General features: G+C 39.3%; 1 protein-coding gene across 4 annotated transcripts in view, besides 1 other annotated feature; it reads right to left on the bottom strand.

Annotated features, from left to right (window-relative positions):
- Nucleotides 1-18,382, bottom strand: part of DNAJC13 (DnaJ heat shock protein family (Hsp40) member C13) — a 121,531-nt gene that overhangs the window by 50,524 nt on the left and 52,625 nt on the right. For 2 of the 4 annotated variants that reach the window (NM_001329126.2, XM_047447819.1), the window contains exons 21-31: nucleotides 15,938-15,952; nucleotides 15,282-15,364; nucleotides 13,424-13,577; nucleotides 10,617-10,720; nucleotides 10,369-10,528; nucleotides 9,220-9,282; nucleotides 8,039-8,140; nucleotides 6,179-6,283; nucleotides 4,932-5,134; nucleotides 3,837-3,921; nucleotides 57-211 (exon numbers count right to left, since the gene is read on the bottom strand). In NM_001329126.2, coding sequence (NP_001316055.1) covers nucleotides 57-211; nucleotides 3,837-3,921; nucleotides 4,932-5,134; nucleotides 6,179-6,283; nucleotides 8,039-8,140; nucleotides 9,220-9,282; nucleotides 10,369-10,528; nucleotides 10,617-10,720; nucleotides 13,424-13,577; nucleotides 15,282-15,364; nucleotides 15,938-15,952 — 1,229 coding nt within the window. The remainder of the gene's footprint in view (nucleotides 1-56; nucleotides 212-3,836; nucleotides 3,922-4,931; nucleotides 5,135-6,178; nucleotides 6,284-8,038; nucleotides 8,141-9,219; nucleotides 9,283-10,368; nucleotides 10,529-10,616; nucleotides 10,721-13,423; nucleotides 13,578-15,281; nucleotides 15,365-15,937; nucleotides 15,953-18,382) is intronic. The other 2 variants (NM_015268.4, XM_047447820.1) reach the window with 1 other exon arrangement.
- Nucleotides 15,943-16,470: an enhancer, noted in NCBI's record as "H3K27ac-H3K4me1 hESC enhancer chr3:132190883-132191410 (GRCh37/hg19 assembly coordinates)". NCBI's record gives its function as "activates a minimal SCP1, AML or CMV promoter by ChIP-STARR-seq in naive H9 embryonic stem cells {active_cell/tissue: H9 hESC(naive)}" and the evidence as "EXISTENCE:reporter gene assay evidence [ECO:0000049][PMID:30033119]".

The following is an 18,382-nucleotide window of genomic DNA, read 5'->3' as shown; positions in this document are numbered from 1 at the left end:
CAGTCCATATAAAATTCAAATAATACTTTTAAATAGATTACCCTTAAAGTTCTTACCGAGCAACAGGAAGCACATTGGAACCTGTGTACATCATGATAAAGAAAAATACTCCACTCAGATAAAGGCGGGGTAACTGTGGGTTATCTTGCATGATATGGTATAACAAAATAGCAACCTTCTCAACAAGGATAGGGTCAAAGGTCAGCAGTAGCTGAAAAAAAATTAAAATGTTTTTATTGGGTTGTAAAAAACCTGCATCATCACTTTAGGTTTTTTATTTCATATGCTGAGGTTATAGCTCCTTATGTAAATTATAAAATAAAAACCCATGGGAGTCAGTAAGCTCATCTACCAGACCCACAACAGATTTGAAAAATGATTCATTCTACAACATTTAATGCAGAACATCAATTGAGAATTGATCAAAATGTATTCAGAAAAGCCCAAACATGCCTGAAGCTAGTTTTGTCATAATGTTACAGGTAACATTGCTTCTTGTGCAAGAATCTTCCTAAAAAGACTTCTCGGTTTGTTTCAACTCAGCTGAGCTGACACAAGAATCCCCTGAAGGCTTCTTGAGAACTCAAGGAGCAGAGCAGAAAATAATGATCAATAAAACAGCCTAAAAGGTAGATCCAGAAGTGCAGGTAACAGGCAAGAGGGTAAACAAGTATCAGGTAGTACATCTGCTACCAGGAAGTACCAAAAGATGTGGCCTCTAGAAATTTGAGCTAGAAATACTGAAGGGAATTTCTGGAATTACTCTAATAAATCTGGGCTAATTAAAAACCATACAGAATTGCTATGAATAAACTTTTGATAAACATTTAATAAGTTTTATCTACGAAGCTTAATAAAGGTGTCGTTCCAATTTTCTATAAAACACTTGCTTCCAATGAATCCTCAATTCGGGGTCAAATGCTCCCAGTAAAAAAAAAAAAAAAAAAAATTACAGCCAGGCATGGTGGCTCACGCCTGTAATCCCAGCACTTTGGGGGCCTGAGGTGGGCGGATCACAAGGTCAGGAGTTCAAGACCAGCCTGGCCAACATGGTGAAACCCCGTCTCTACTAAAAGTACAAAAAATTAGCCGGGCATGGTGGCAGGTGCCTGTAATCCCAGCTACTCGGGAGGCTGAGGCAGGAGAATTGCTTAAACCCGGGAGGCGGAGGTTGCAGTGAGCAGAGATTGAGCCACTGCACTCCAACCTGGGCGACAGAGTAAAACTCCATCTCAAAAAATAAATAAATAAAATTAATTAATTAATTTACAATAAAGAGAGTAAGTAGCTCAGATTAGGAGGCCAAAGTTCTATACTCATATGTGAGACTAAACAGCTATGGGTCTTTTAAGTAAATAACTTAAATTTCTCTATGCTTTGGTGTCTTATCTATTCCACAAGGAATTTAGATTAAGCGTTTCATACTATTACATATTTTAAAAAGGAAACATACAGTCATATAGAATTTTCCCTAGTGTTAATGGCAGTAGTTCAAGACTTGACATTACGGAAATTAGTGGCAAACACCCACACAAGCACGCACACACACCCAACTACCCACCGTATTTCAATTTGTCACTATACTAGAAAACCTATAACATTTATTCAGCACACACACAGACACACACCTAGAGTATTTCAAACTATCACTATACTAGAAAACCTAGAACGTTTACTCACTGTATTTTGGATTACTCTAAAAATTCTGAAGCTCTATCAGATGGTAAAAATGATGACTGCTCTTAAAGTCAAATGAAGTACAGATATCCCTTTCCAACCGATGAAGATAACATTCCCAGAAACTACTATAGCCACCTAACTGTGCTTTGGCATGATTCAGGTCTCCCAGAATAGAAAAAATTAAAAGAAAAACAAAAATAACTTCTTAAAAATAATTTTTGAACTCAATATAAAAAAATAGGAGTCACACACTGTTCGAAGCTAGATTTATCAATATAAGTATCTTTAATCACTTTGTTCAGATATTACTGAAAATTTTTGGTTAATTAAAAGAAAGCCTCCCTCCCCCAAGCTTCATGTTATGCTGAGCACATTTCTTAAAAGTTTTTTAATCATCCCTTCCTAGACTGAAATTTAATGCCATTTGTATTTACTTTTTCCTTTCAGTTTCGTAAGACTTAGAAAAATGGGAGCGGTTGATCTTTTGGGTGTGGTGTTTTATCCACATGTTGAGAGGGTCTATCAGGGAGAAAAAATTCCTCTCTTTGCATCACCTCACATATGCAGCCACATGGCCCCACAGGAAAGGGGATGTGGTAATAGTTTAGAGCCCTCAATAATTGCAGTGCTTTTTCACTGAAGGATACGAATGGAAATGTCCACAAAAGAAAAGCAAAGAAATGTTAAAATGTGAGTATGCTTAAATAACAGAAATTGGCAAAAAAAAAAAAAAAAAAAAAAAAAAAGGATAGGGCATTACTGTATTTAGAAGTCTTTTTCAGCATCAATGACTTACATAAGCATTTAGGTAGTAAATAAGTGAATGTAAAAATATATAAACTGAGTTAACTCTTCTTTCCCACTGCAGACCAATGTACAACTGAAAGGTACAAATGGCACAAGTCACTGGCATACAACTTAATAGAAACATTTGCCTGAAATGTCTAGGACCTGACTTATTTGGGTTTAATGTTAATCTGAAGTTTAAATAGCTTAATTCCAAAAAAGCAGAATAATGCAAAAGAAAAAGATATTTTGGTGTATCCTAGATTAATACCAACTCAATGCTTTGAATCATTGGTATCAATGAAAACATAACTAAGAATAGTCAAAATCTACGGCAGAAGTTAGTAAGACTGCTGTGATTACTTCTTAAGATATGAACCACCAAGTCCACCCCTGTGGCCTGCTGGTGTACCTCCCAGTAGTCTTAACAACATCAACATACACCACAAACTGGAATAAATCACTTTTCAGATATTAAAGTGGTGTGATTTTAAAAATAGGTAATAAATAAAACTCTCTTAGCACAATTCTGGAATCTAGAAACTTCTCATGTTTAGGCTCAATCTTCCACAGCATATTCAGCAACTCAAGAGTAAGTGAAATAGCTGGGTGCAGTGGCTCATGCCTGTAATCCCAGCACTTTAGGAGGCCAAGGTGGATGGATCATTTGAGGCCAGGAGTTTGAGAACAGCCTGGTCAACATGGCAAAACCCCTGCTCTACTAAAAATACAAACAAAGTAGCTGGGTGTGGTGGCACATGCCTGTAATCCCAGCTACTCGGGAGGCTGAGCCAAGAGAATCATCTGAACATGGGAGGCGAAGGTTGGATTGGGTCAAGATCCTGCCACTGCACTTCAGCCTGGGCAACAGAGCAAGACTGTCTCAAAAAAATAAAAAAAAATAAAAAATTAAGTGAAATGAATGTAATTCAAAGTACAGGCCTTTTCCTTTTCTTTTTGAGACAAGGTCTTGCTCTGTTGCCCAGGCTGGAGTGCGGTGGCATGATCACAGCTCACTGCAGCCTCAAACTCCTGGGATCAAACAATCCTCCCACCTCAGCCTCCCAAGGGGCAGGGACTACAGACATGTGCCATCATGCCTGGCGGCCATTTACTTTATTTATTTATTTATTTTTTGTAGAGATGGGGTCTTCCTATGTTGACCAAAGTGGTCTCGAACTCCTTGACTCAAGCAACCCTCCCGCCTCAGCCTCCCAAAGTGCTGGGATTGGAGGTGTGAGACTCCACACCTGGCCTATTTAGGCTTTTTGAAAATGGAATAGACTGCAACAAAACAAAGACTGGTACTGATAATAAAATTCAGAGAAAATGATTCTTAAAATTGCTCCTAGTTTGATTACATAACTCACCTGAATAATATGGGGAAGGCAAGTGCTATCTGACAGCAGTCTTTTCACTTTGGGTAGAGGCCGAATGATGGCATTGTCTTGATCCCTAGAAAACATTTTCTCACGTCAACATTTAATATATTTGTTAAAATTTGTATGTTCAGAGCATACGACATTCTACTAGGCATGAAGCAGGTTACCTTACTTTTTTGTTAATGAAGACTAAGCTCTCATACAGCTGGGAACATGATTAGGTATTTTGGTTTAAATCTATTTGGCTGCTTAATATGACTTCATTTCCTTCCATAAGATTTCCTTGAAAAACAGTACCCTAGAAGAGCCAAAGACTCTTATTTATTATTTAATTGATTAAACTTGGTGTTGTTCAACACACTGTCAGTGGGTATTTTCCCCCAAAGGGCTTATCAAACTTTGTTACATAAATTTAAACCTTGATTTAACTATGTTTGGTATTTTCCAAGTATAGCTTTAATTTTAATGCTACCTTATTTCTAAATACTAACTGTATAATTTTGAGTCCAACTGGAACCATGAAAACTTCAAGTGTTTTAAAATGTTACAGTTTCTCAGTAATTTCCATCACAAGATATCTTTAGTACAGTAATGAATCAAAATGATTTATATGTAATTATTTCATAAAGATTAAAAAGTTACATGCAAGTGTTATCCTTATGACTTGGAGAACAAATTCTCACCTTCACTGGTCAAGTGGGGCAAGACGTGGGCCTACACTTGCCTTCTATAGCAGAAATAGCTAGCGTGTCAGATCAACAGCTGGCATTCACCACTGTCTATGGACTGCAGTATGTAATTCAAAACATTAACACCAATTCACATAAATTATAAAATTGTTACTATTGTAAGTCTCAGTTTTGTAACATTATTTGAAATCTCCCAGAAAAAGTTGCTTTTTTAGCAACTTTATTAATATAATTTGCAAATTCTTTATATCTGTTTCAAAAAATTCCAAAGGTCAAAACAGCATTCCTCCAAGGCCATAAATAGGACATCTTTGTTTTAAAACACCAGACCGATTCTATGCTGTTACTAAGGAAGCATATCAATTAACCATGGAAACATTCAATTACATTTTACCTGCTTGGAAAATATCCACACATTGTGATCAACATGTTCAATATAAGGGTAGCAAGGTCAGTTTCATTCAGGACAGCCTGTCCACTGGCTAAGAGACACCACTTAAGCTGGGGTATGGACTGAAGTGGTCGCCATCCATCCATGCCTTGAGCCCAGCATCTGGTTTTTGCATTTAACATTCCTTTGGTCCACAATTCTTGCATCTAATGGATGGAAGGCATTATTACAAACAGACAAAATAAAATGAAAAACCTCACTAGTGTTTTCTACTTTATAGTAAATACATACTAAATTATGAAACAAACATGTAAGTACACTATTTCAGAAAAAATAAGTTTTGTTGACAGGCCTTTAGGAACCCAAATTTGGTTAATACAAAAAAAAACCAAAAAACCCACCACCTGGCCAGCCTGCAGAGCATAAAGAATACTGGAAAGAGTAAAAATGACAGGTGGGGTGCTAAATAATCAAATTATACTAGAGCAGAATGGTTGGTCCTCCATAAAACTATCTTTGCCCAATTCGAAATGAGCCTGGGAGGCTGAAGATCAGAGGCAGGATCAAGTATCAAGATAAAGAGGAAAACTGTCCTTAGCTCTTGGACTGAATAATTTTCAATGAATTTTAGACTGCATATTAAAACTTACTTATTCATACCATATAGAAACATTATAGTTTGACGTAAGTACTAAGATAGCTTTTTTTTTTTCTTTTTTGGAGATAGGGTCTCGCTATTCATTGCCCAGGCTGGATTGCAGTGGTGTGATCATGGCTTACTGCAGTCTCAACCTCCTGGACTCAAGCGATCCTCCCACCTCAGCCTCTCAAGTAGCTGACACTATAGGCATGCACCACCATGCTTAGCTAATTATTTTTTATTTTAACAAAGATAGTCTCTTGCTATGTTGCCCAGGCTGGTCTTGAACTCCTGGCTTCAAGCGATCCTCCCACAGTGCCGGAATTACAGGTGTAAGCCACTACACCCAGCCAGAAATTATTACATAAAAATCACTAAAAACCTGAGTGCTATCTCCATAACAACAGCTTTTAAACAAGGTTTGAAGGCATAATTTTATATGTATGTTTGGTTCTCCATTTTTCATGTGGAAACTGAGTTGCAGGGCCCTTGGAGCTAATAACAGGAATTTAAATGACAGCTTTAAAACATTCCACGCCTCTGTAAGTGCTAAGCAGGAGGGCATAAGAAATGCTGAGACCTTCACCAAAAGTATCTCCAAGATACATACCTCATGAAATCCATACGGGCCACTCCTTTCTTTGTCTGCGTTGCCAAAATACCATTCCTTTTCACTCTCTCTTTTCATATCTGGAGCAGCTTCAATTACATTGCTCTAAGTTTAAAAAAGATTTAAATTATTTTCCAAGGCAGAAATCTAAAAGACCAGATGTCGTAAAACAAAGTTGCACAGCAGTACTTTGGAGGGGTTTATATCCCTTTAAAAGTTAACCTGAAAGTTTAAGTGACCTTATTTTAAGATTTAAGAGTTTAGGACAAAATGCCTAACCTAACAGTCCAAAAAAACTATTTCCTTATTAATATACATTTGAAGTAAATGGTTTCTTAAGTTCACACTCAGCAATCTAAGCTAAATTCAGTGACATCTACATTCCCCATGGTCATTAATAAATACCGAGGACACTAAGATTTTAGTAGCAAAGAATATTGCAAATAGTTATGTAAATAGATACGTATCATTAATCTTAAGCAACAATGCTCAAAATATTAAAGTTATTTTGGGGGAAAAACTCACTCCAACTAAGAGTTCCAATAAGTATCTGAGATCAAAGCATTAAAATGCTAACAGCAAAGTTAGTTTTCAGTGGTTTTATATAGTCTCAATTTAATACCTATTACCCTTACTACAAATAATTCTTACAATGTTCTCTATCAATGTTTTACAAGAATCTAGGTTAAAATTTTTATGTAGTCGGGTTATTTTATCACAACATGGTTATGTTCTTTGTCTTTCTTTTTTGAGACAGGGTCTTACTTTGTTACCTAGCCTGGAGTGCAATGGCACAAAAATGCCTCACTGCAGCCTTGACTTCCCAGGCTCATGCAATCCTCCTGCCTTAGCCCCTCAAGTAGCTGGGACTACAGGTGTGTGCCACCACATCTGGCTTTTTGTTTTTGTCAAGACAGGTTTTGCCAATTTGCTTAGGCTGGTCTTGAACTCCTGAGTTCAAGTGATCCTCCCGCCTCAGCCCCCCAAAGTGCTGGGATTACCAGTGTGAGCCACTGTGCCTGGCCTGTTCTTTTTCTTACAATCACCTTCCTTGAGAATGAAATAACATGTTTTTAAATACTGCCATAATTATCAGCTTTCAGTTAGACTCATATAGAGAGGTACAGCAAAGTTGTTATGAGCATATAGACTTCTGGGTCTTAACTCTAGCTCTGCCACTTATCAGGTGACCTTGGGCAAGATAGCCTCTGTGTTCCTTAGTTTCCTCATCTATAAAATGTGGATAGTAACCACCTCCAAGGGCTGTTGGGGGATTCAAAAAGTTAATGTATTGTATGTGTACCAGAACAGTACCTGTTGTAATGGTATATAACAGAATACATCATATACTAAATACTCAAATAGCACTTTCGGTCACAATTCACACGAAATCTAACATGACACATCTCCTTACATCAGGAAATTAAAACACCAAAAACATCAAATGAGCTAAGGATAGATTCTTCTATAAGTTAAGTATCAGTCCTCTTGGCTGGTATCAAGAAGGTGTCCAGACTCCTTTAAGGCAAAGCATATTCTTACTGCTTGCCAATGTTAAAAGTACTATTTACATATCTAATGAATTCAATTTATATCCTAAAAGTCACATTGCCTCAAGATAAGCCATATTAGAGATACAGTTACTTTAATTGACAAAATAAAACTCAATCGTTACTGTCCATTTTGGATCGTTCTTACAGTGGTTTCACATCTTCTGTGTGAAATCTCAGAACTAGTACTACTGTAATTACTGGAAAAATAAGTGTGTGACCACATCTTTTCAGATTTCTATGATTCTTTTGCCTCTAAAATTATACTCAAAGAACGTTAAATTTGTAAAACGTAAACAAGGATACGTACTTGCAGTGGTACTGTAGCTCGGCTTACATGGAGATGTGCAAGGGTAAGCAAGTCCACAAGGATTCTTATTCCATTTGAATCCATGAGATCCTTAACATTTTTCTGGAAGAGGAAAACATTTTTTTCGTAATCTAAACATTTTTCATAACCTAAAACCTATCCCAATAGTACCTTTCCCAATAGGTACTACCACCTACAAGGTCCTCGAAGAAAAGAATGTTTGGAGTCCTTGGAAATAAGTGATACGACTGGTATTACTTGGTCTTTTCAGCATTTTGTGTTCAAGGAACCTGAATTCCAATTGATTAAAAGGGCAAAACTATATTACAAAGAGATCACTTAAGAATTTTTACTTAAATATATTCTGAGGAAAAAACAACCTCTGGTTTTACAATTATTCTGTCAAGGTCTTTTTAATAAACAGATTATTCTATATCAGAAATAAAGTCTGCTATATTAAAAAATCTTTTAATGTTCCAGTTTGTTTTCATAAACTTAACTGGTAATTTCTTAGAAGTTAAGAGACTATAATTTCAATTAAAATTTCTTTGTACTTATAATTACACTTCAGTTTAAAACATTTGCATTACTTAAGAATAAAACTATGCAAATTGGTATTAGTATCAAAGTTTTAAGAAATGAAAATCCGCTTACACTTCAACATAAATTGTGAATTAATGTTATATATTACAACTGTGAATTCCTCTTGTTTGAAATGAGCATGAACCTATTAAAATGTCTTTAAAAAGAAAATACAGAGTAAAATGACTAATCTTATAACTTCCAATTACTTTTTATCAACAAAATGTACACTGATAAAGACTTTCCATTTTATGTCAAGCATATATTTTACTTAAAATTTAACCCTAAAGAGTCCCTAAAGAAAAATAAGCTAATTTTTATTATTAAAAATCATTTTAATGTATTAAAAGTCATCCATTATTCGTCATTCAGAATTTTATTATCATTAATTCATTCTGCACCCACAATATTAAGACAGACTATACAGGGAATACTGACAAAAACCTCTCCCTCCAGGAGATTAGAGCACACAGAACTTTCTGTCTAAAAAGGAGAAGACAGAAAAGAACACTCCCTGGATAATCAACTCAAACTGTGAGTTTATCTTACATACTTATATGACTTGGAAATAACAATGTATGTATGCGAAACTACTGTACCTTATTAAGGATCAACTTGTTAAGGAAGAGAATCAACCTATCTCGTTCAAGTTTATCTGTGCACTATTGAAATAAATGAGAATCTGGTCAGAAGTGAATAGAAATAAAAATTAAGGTATTACTATTACTAGACAAAATAAACCAACAGCCCATAAGAAGTAATGCCATTTTATAAACATTAAGGAGAAAAATCATAGAAATCTGTCAATTATTGCAATTCCTTAATGAATCCTGAAAATTACATTCTTTATATAACTTGTCTAATCTCCCTAGAAAGGCAGACATTTTAAAGTCATCAGATTAATATATAGCTTTAAGGAGATAAGTAAAAATTGAAGTAAGTGAAATAATGTAAGTGAAATAATTGGTCCAAATGATACTTGAAGTAAAAGGATGTAAACACAAAAGAAAGTATAAAACATATACACTGCAACAAACAGGCAGCAATCAAATGAGCTGCATGATGAATTGATTAATTTGTCCCCTCCACCATGTTCAAATGTTAAATGACAAATTCTTAAAATAAAAAAATTTTTTTTGAGACAAGGTCTTGCTCTGTCATCCAGGCTGGAGTGTGATCACAGCTCACTGCAGCCTCAACCTCCTGGGTTCAAGTGATCCTCCCACTTCCAGGTGAACCACCAGGTACATGCCACCACGTCCACTAATTTTTTTATTTGACAAACTGTATAAAATTTTTTGTAGAGTGCTAACTCAAGGTTTCTTTTTTGGAAGGGTAGCATTGTAGTTTTAAAAGGTTTTTACTATCTTCACACTTCTAAATTTAGTATGGTAGCATCAATTAAGATTTTTCCAAAATGGAAAATCAAAGGTACATACAACTCTACAAGTCACCATTTCTTTTATACACCTGTCCAACTCATCCATACTTAAAGACTGACAAGTAGGTCAACTAAAGTCATTTGAAAACAGTAACTGAAACACATAAAGTGACATGGACAAATTCTAACCCATTATTCATTTTCCTATTCATCTAACTCAGATTTAAATAAGTATAAATTACAGAAAAATGAATGCAGAAAGTTACAGTAATAATGTGATCAAACAGAATTTAAATTTAGTTTTTAAAATTTAACACATACCCTAGTGACACTATCAAATAGTAATTTCCTTAAATGATATCCTTACCCTCTCTAACATTCCAATGATATATCTGGTATCTGTAAAAGGTCCTATTTCTTCGTGACATCTGCCATAAACAATAGCAAGGGCTTGTAAACATAAACACTTCATGTTTACTTTTGGGGTGAGCAAGAAGCGATGATAAAGCTCATTGAAAAATTCATACCTAGATTTTAAAAAAAAAAGTTCACAATAGAAATAGCCATGAAACCAACAGTGAAAACAAATGCGACAGGATATACAGAGTAGCTCACGATCTCTTAATTGATCCACTTTCTTCATTCTCATCTTCCTCCAATAGTAATCTCAGGTAATAGTCTCCTATTTTAATTTCCTCTGCCAGGCACTCATATTTAACCTTCATAAACAAAAGCAAATTACACTATTTTAGTTTACAATAGATTTTGGCAATTTCTAATAATTGTTTCTTATAGTTCTTTCTGTTCAAAACTTATTTCTTAAAATACCTGTTAATTCAATATTGTTAACATGACTATTTTAGCTAAATGCTGAGAATTACATACCAATTTTATAAATGTAAGACCTGCTGATAAAAATTGTCACAGCACTATCTGGTGTCAATTAAAAAAGGAGGAATAAAATCTGCTTTATTCCCTACTGGGTTTGCCGTAAAAAAGCAAGGAGTAGATGGTCCTGCATCACACATGATTTGCTCAACACACATACACTACTTCAGGTCTTCCCTCTATCCCACAGCTCTATCCCTGGTGATGTGCCAGACTTAAAACCAACACATCAACTACCTTTTACATTTTCGTAAAGAATTCCTTCTATGTCAAATCACCCCATGTTACTACATTGAGGTGATAAATGAGGGCAAAGTCAAAGATCAGGAGTTGGGGCACCACCACTATGCTTGCACTCAGGCTGTGTGTCTCAAGGAAAGATTTCAGGCAATTATAAAAAGGAATTCCCAGATCAGAATTCTTTTTCCGAAGTCTAAAATAATAGATTTCTAAAAATATAAATTATATAAAACCAAATATATATCTTCATTTCATTTTCTATATAAAGTCTAAGCATTCAATTCATTCAATTTCTATTAAGCATACACTGTGTGCCATGTACTATTCCAGGCACTGGAGACGCAGCAGTTGAACAAACAAAGGTTTCTAGGCTCACAGGTGAAGCCTGTAAAAAAGTGAAATATATTTGATAGTTGGGTGACAGTAAGTACTACAGAGTAAAATAAAGCAGGAAATGGGGATAGGCAGAGAGAATGTGTATGTAAATATGTGTGTATGTATAAAAGGGGCTGCATTTTTAAACAAGGTATCCAGGGAAGGCCCACCCAGATAACGACATTCAAAAGATCTGAAGATGAGAAAACAGGTTATGAGGCTATCTGTGGAAAACCCTTATTCTAAGCAGAGGAAACACCAAAGAAGACGACCTTGAGGCAAGAATGTGAATTTGGTGTTTTCTAAGAAGCCTATTTGGCTGGAACAGAGTGTGAGAGAGGGAGGAGTAGGATATGAGATAAAAGAAACAATGCTTAGCATTGGGGGTTACACAGATGCTGGTTTTAAGTCATTTTAAGGACTCAGATTTTAACTGAGATGGGAAACCACAAGAGCACCAAGGGTTTGAGCACAGAAATGATGTGCTTGCTATTTAACAAGGTAACCCTCCAATGTTGATAACAGATTCCAGGGAGGCAAGAGTAGAAGCAGTGACATTGTTGCAATCTAAAAGCAAGAAGGTCTAAATAAATTTTGAAGGTGCACTGTATGGAATTTGCTAAAAAACTTGATATAAAAGGTAATGTCAAGGGTTTTCACTAGAAAATAAGGAGTAGTCATTATCTAAGATCATAAAGACTGTAAGAGAAGTAGGCTCGGGAAGAACAAGAGCACAATTTTGGAGAAAAGTTCTAGATACTTATCAGATATCCAATTATGAGATAGAAGTATGAAGTCTAGGGCTAAAAGTCGAAGCAAGAGATAAAAATCTGGAAGCTATCAGCAAATAAAAAGCCAGACTGGGCAACATGGTGAAACCTCGTCTCCATAAAAAATACAAAAATTAGCTAGGCATGGTGGTGCAAGCCTCTGGTCCCACCTACTGGGGAGGCGAAGGTGGAAGGATTGCTTGAGCCAATGAGGCAGAGGCTGCAGTGAGCAAAGATGGCACCACTGCAGTCTAGCCTATGCAATAAAGCAAGGTCGTGTCTCAGAAAAATAAAAAATAAAATAAAATAAAAATATTTAAAGCCATGAAACTTAATGATTTCATTGAGGCAATGAATAAAAATGAACGAGGTCAAAGAACTGAAACTTTGGAGCCAGCCAACATTTAGTGGTCAGCGAGATGAAGCAAAATGAGTAAAGATGACTTGAGAAGTGGTAGACAGTGAAAAAGGAGAAAATCTAGCAGAATACGGACTCCCAAAACAAAGTAAAGACAAGTTTTTCATTTTGCTAAGAAAAGAATGAGCATATCCAAATGGAATATGGAAATGCAACTGGGTTAAAGATCAAAGCCCGCAGGATCACTCACATGTTCAAATTTAAAGCTATAATAGTTTAAATTGTATATGTTTATAATATACTTCAACTATATATACACCCACACGTATAAAATTACCTACTACCACCATCTTTCTTGTTTCTCCTGCTCTTCACATCAATATTTTAATAGAACAGCAAAATATGGTCACATTCAGAATCAATTAACACAAAAAAAAATCAAACAAGTTACAAGGAACAAGGCAAACAGGGTATGTTTCAATGAAAAAAGAACTCAAAGGTCCCAGAAATGGAAAAAAAAAGAAAAAAGGAAAGAATAGATTTGGAATGCACAGAATCAAATTTATTAAAATTCTTACATGATTCTCAGGTACAAAGCTAAGTTACTAAACAAAATTTTTTTATTTTTGTCTGACACACAGATTAAAGTTTTCCAGTATTTCCTACATAACATTAAAGGGGGAAAGGTAAAGACCAGATATGTAATTACAAATTTTTTTAAAAAAAATCACTCCCCAAATAGTACATGCTTTATTTTTTAAGATTAATATACTGGAAAAATCAAACTTTACCTCAAACTCATGGTGGTTCCAGGAGATCACATTTGCACTTCCAAGTTCTCTGTCAATATTAAATGCTCTCATTTCAGATTCAAGAGTATCTTTCAGTTCTTCTCGTGTTTTGAAATTCCAAATAAGGTTTGACCTGGCATGGTCTTGACCAAACCTAGACATACATATAATGAGGAAATAGCAGGATGCACTAAGCATTTTAAAAAATCTATAAATATCCCTTACTGACCTTATAATAAGCAAAAAAAAAAAAAAAAAAGGGGGGGGGGGGAATAGATTTTAGCAAATGTAAGTAAAGAAAATAAAATCTGTGTAAAGGAAGTAGAGTAAAACATTAATGACAGAATCTTGGTGGTAGGTATACAGATATTCACTGCAAAATTCTTTTACCTTTTGTATGTTTGAAAGTTTTCATAATAAAAAGTTGAGGAAAAAAAGGAACCTAAACTATGAAACAAATCTGTGTGAATTAAAAAAAAAAACACCTGATATTTCAACTTCAATGTTTATTGCTAATACAAATTTCAGTCAGAAAACAATTCTACTGGCCAGGCGCAGTGGCTCCCACCTGTAATCTCAGCACTTTGGGAGGCCGAGGCAGGAGGATCATGAGGTCAGGCGTTCGAGATCACCCTGGCCAACATGGTGAAACCCCATCTCTACTAAAAATACAAAAAATTAGCTGGGTATGGTGGCACATGCCTATAATCCAAGCTACTTGTGAGGCTGAGGCTGGAGAGTCGCTTGAACTCGGGAGGCAGAGGTTGCAGTGAGCCAAAATCACGCCATTGCACTCCAGCCTGGGCGACAGGGTGAGACTCCATCTCAAAAAACAAAAAACAAACAAAAAAAAACACCACAATTCTCTTGTCAGATACAAAACTTTAGGTTGGGGAGATAAGAACTGCTGGACTTCTGGGTAAAGCATATGGAATCAGCAACAATCTATATATGTTAGGACTTTACAGACTACCCAAGAAAGAATACTGCAAACTGCCAAGCTATGACTGAGCATTTTCAAAGTATCTTCCTCATATGCTTGGAGTAATTATTGTAAAACATTTGGGCACAAGTCTAACTGGGGATGAATGGGTTTCACATATGCTTACTTTCAAGTCTGCAATCCTCCTAGAAAGTCTCATTTCAGAGTTCCAAGGAAGTTCTATGGGGCGCAACACAACTGAGAGAGAAATCCAAGGCATATACTTAAGGATATACTATGTACATACTGTATACTTTAAAAGTAGTGTGGGGGAGTTTTCAAAGGACATATTTTTCTTTATTGGCCAAGGTATAATTGAAATGTCAGTTTCCAGAGTGAGTACTGTGAGTTATCTTAAAGAAGCTTTGCAAACTCCCCAAAATGACTGTTTCCCTGTCCTGTGTGTGTGTATGTGTGTGTCCAGGAAGGGGGTGCAGGGTAAGGGTGAGATTGGTAGATAAAAAGAGGGAAGAGGTTACCACATTTGATAGGAGGGAAGGTCCTCCTATCAGCTAACTTGGACACTCACTTCTCACAAGTCTTATGTTATCATCTGCCTCTTTTAAGACTCCATTTCCATCTAGGAAGTATGCAATTATTTCTAAGCCTGTAATGAAGTATTTTTAAAATAAGCATCTCTAAGCCTTAATAAAGTCTTTAATGTAATTTTAGTTCCTCAGACTATCACTCTATGAAAAGCCTTAATTTTAGGAGCATCTCTAGTCACCCCAATCTTAACAGTTATAGTTCCTGAACTTGATGGCATAAAAATACATGTGGCATAAAGCAACAGTTTCAGGGAAGAAGAACGTGTCATGATGCCTCTCATGGCAATACTAAATTTAATCTTTATTGGAAAAGAGACCTAAAGTTTACCTATAATAGAAGAGATCCCAATTTGCTTCTATTTTTATTCTTTGTCTTCTCTTTCGAAGAACCACTGGCTTCTGATTTATATTCTGGAACAGAAAAAAACTTCATAGTGCTCAATCTGGGGCTACCAAATAGGCTTAGTCAGAAGATCATCAATTTATACGTGATGAGAAACATTTCTTTCATCAAATTTTGACAGAAACAAAAATTAACGGAATAAATAAAATCTATAAAACATGAATATAAATACAGGATATTAAATTATATCACATATAATAATTTGACAGCATATATTTCTATAGTTACTCAAGTATTTTCCATGTAGCCTAAAGCTGTTTCAACACCAAATTTTGTTAAAGTTTACAGTGATTAATAAAATTTAAAATAGTCAAAAACAGTGACTTGTTTCAAACATTTACATGCAGTTAACACAAAAGCCTTGGGACAACAATAAATGCAAAAGATTACAGGTTGTTAAAGTGCTACCAAAGCCAAGAGGAGCAAGTACAAATTGAAATAGCTAATGGAGAAGAAATGTGTCTACATTCAAACACATGTGAAGTTAAGACTTGAATTTATTAAACAGAGAATATCAAAGATGACTCCACATGCCAGGCAGCTTAATGCATTTCACACACGTAGCAGGAACTTACACTCACCATATTGTTTTTGTCCTGAATTTAATCGTAAAAAGGAAAAAAAGTTAAAGAAAATAAAAAGAGAATGAGCCTAGATCTGCTAAATTATATCTATTACACATCAATACAAAATTATCTTTACTTTAAGACTAAAATAGGTGCACCTGCTTCTCTAAGCCTGTGACTCAAATTTTAGGCAGTCATAAACCCTTTGAGAATTCAAAGAAAGCTATGGCCCCTGTTTCAGAGATAGGCACATACTTAAGGCTGCAACTGGAAGAGAAGATTTCAAGAATTCTTAAAGTCTGTACATGGACCAGAGGTTAAGAATCTCTGCTCCAGCCCTCTCCCTCTGTCTCCCTCTCCCCACGGTCTCCCTCTCATGCGGAGCCGAAGCTGGACTGTACTGCTGCCATCTCGGCTCACTGCAACCTCCCTGCCTGATTCTCCTGCCTCAGCCTGCCGAGTGCCTGCCATTGCAGGCACGCGCCGCCACGCCTGACTGGTTTTGGTGGAGACGGGGTTTCGCTGTGTTGGCCGGGCCGGTCTCCAGCCCCTAACCGCGAGTGATCCCGCCAACCTCAGCCTCCCGAGGTGCCGGGATTGCAGACGGAGTCTCGTTCACTCAGTGCTCAATGGTGCCCAGGCTGGAGTGCAGTGGCGTGATCTCGGCTCACTACAACCTACACCTCCCAGCCGCCTGCCTTGGCCTCCCAAAGTGCCGAGATTGCAGCCTCTGCCCGGCCGCCACCCCGTCTGGGAAGTGATGACCGTCTCTGCCTGGCCGCCCATCGTCTGGGATGTGAGGAGCCCCTCTGCCTGGCTGCCCAGTCTGGAAAGTGAGGAGCGTCTCCGCCCGGCCGCCATCCCATCTAGGAAGTGAGGAGCGCCTCTTCCCAGCCGCCATCACATCTAGGAAGTGAGGAGCGTCTCTGCCCGGCCGCCCATCGTCTGAGATGTGGGGAGCGCCTCTGCCCTGCCGCCCCATCTGGGATGTGAGGAGTGCCTCTGCCCGGCCGAGACCCCATCTGGGAGGTGAGGAGCGTCTCTGCCCGGCCGCCCCGTCTGAGAAGTGAGGAGACCCTCTGCCTGGCAACCACCCCGTCTGAGAAGTGAGGAGCCCCTCCGCCTGGCAGCTGCCCCGTCTGAGAAGTGAGGAGCCTCTCCGCCCGGCAGCCACCCCATCTGGGAAGTGAGGAGCATCTCCGCCCGGCAGCCACCCCGTCCGGGAGGGAGGTGGGGGGGGGTCAACCCCCCGCCCGGCCAGCCGCCCCGTCCGGGAGGGAGGTGGGGGGTCAGCCCCCCCGACCGGCCAGCCGTGCCATCCGGGAGGGAGGTGGGGGGGTCAGCCCCCCGCCCGGCCAGCCGCCCCGTCCGGGAGGTGAGGGGTGCCTCTGCCCGGCCGCCCCTACTGGGAAGTGAGGAGCCCCTCAGCCGGGCCAGCCACCCCGTCCAGGAGGGAGATGGGGGGGTCAGCCCCCCCACCCGGCCAGCCGCCCCGTCCGGGAGGGAGGTGGGGGGGTAAGCCCCCCGCCTGGCCAGCCGCCCCGTCCGGGAGGGAGGTGGGGGGGTCAGCCCTCCGCCCGGCCAGCCGCCCCGTCCGGGAGGTGAGGGGCGCCTCTGCCCGGCCGCCCCTACTGGGAAGTGAGGAGCCCCTCTGCCCGGCCAGCCGCCCCGTCCGGGAGGGAGGTGGGGGGGTCAGCCCCCCGCCCGGCCGGCCGCCCTGTCCGGGAGGGAGGTGGGGGGATCAGCCCCCCGCCTGGCCAGCCGCCCTGTCCAGGAGGGAGGTGGGGGGGTCAGCCCTCCGCCCGGCCAGCCGCCCCGTCTGGGAGGTGAGGGGCGCCTCTGCCCGGCCGCCCCTACTGGGAAGTGAGGAGCCCCTCTGCCCGGCCAGCCGCCCCGTCCGGGAGGGAGGTGGGGGTGTCGGCCCCCCGCCCGGCCAGCCGCCCCGTCCGGGAGGGAGGTGGGGGGGTCAGCCCCCCCGCCCGGCCAGCCGCCCCGTCCGGGAGGTGAGGGGCGCCTCTGCCCGGCCGCCCCTACTGGGAAGTGAGGAGCCCCTCTGCCCGGCCACCACCCCGTCTGGGAGGTGTGCCCAACAGCTCATTGAGAACGGGCCAGGATGACAATGGCGGCTTTGTGGAATAGAAAGGCAGGAAAGGTGGGGAAAAGATTGAGAAATCGGATGGTTGCCGTGTCTGTGTAGAAAGAAGTAGACATGGGAGACTTTTCATTTTGTTCTGCACTAAGAAAAATTCCTCTGCCTTGGGATCCTGTTGATCTGTGACCTTACCCCCAACCCTGTGCTCTCTGAAACATGTGCTGTGTCCACTCAGGGTTAAATGGATTAAGGGCGGTGCAAGATGTGCTTTGTTAAACAGATGCTTGAAGACAGCATGCTCGTTAAGAGTCATCACCAATCCCTAATCTCAAGTAATCAGGGACACAAACACTGCGGAAGGCCGCAGG

The sequence above is a fragment of the Homo sapiens genome, chromosome 3 (genome assembly GCF_000001405.40).
Source record: "Homo sapiens chromosome 3, GRCh38.p14 Primary Assembly".
Lineage (NCBI taxonomy): Eukaryota > Metazoa > Chordata > Mammalia > Primates > Hominidae > Homo > Homo sapiens.
The sequence above is the reverse complement of the archived record's forward strand: the minus strand, read 5'-3'. Positions and strand labels throughout refer to the sequence as shown.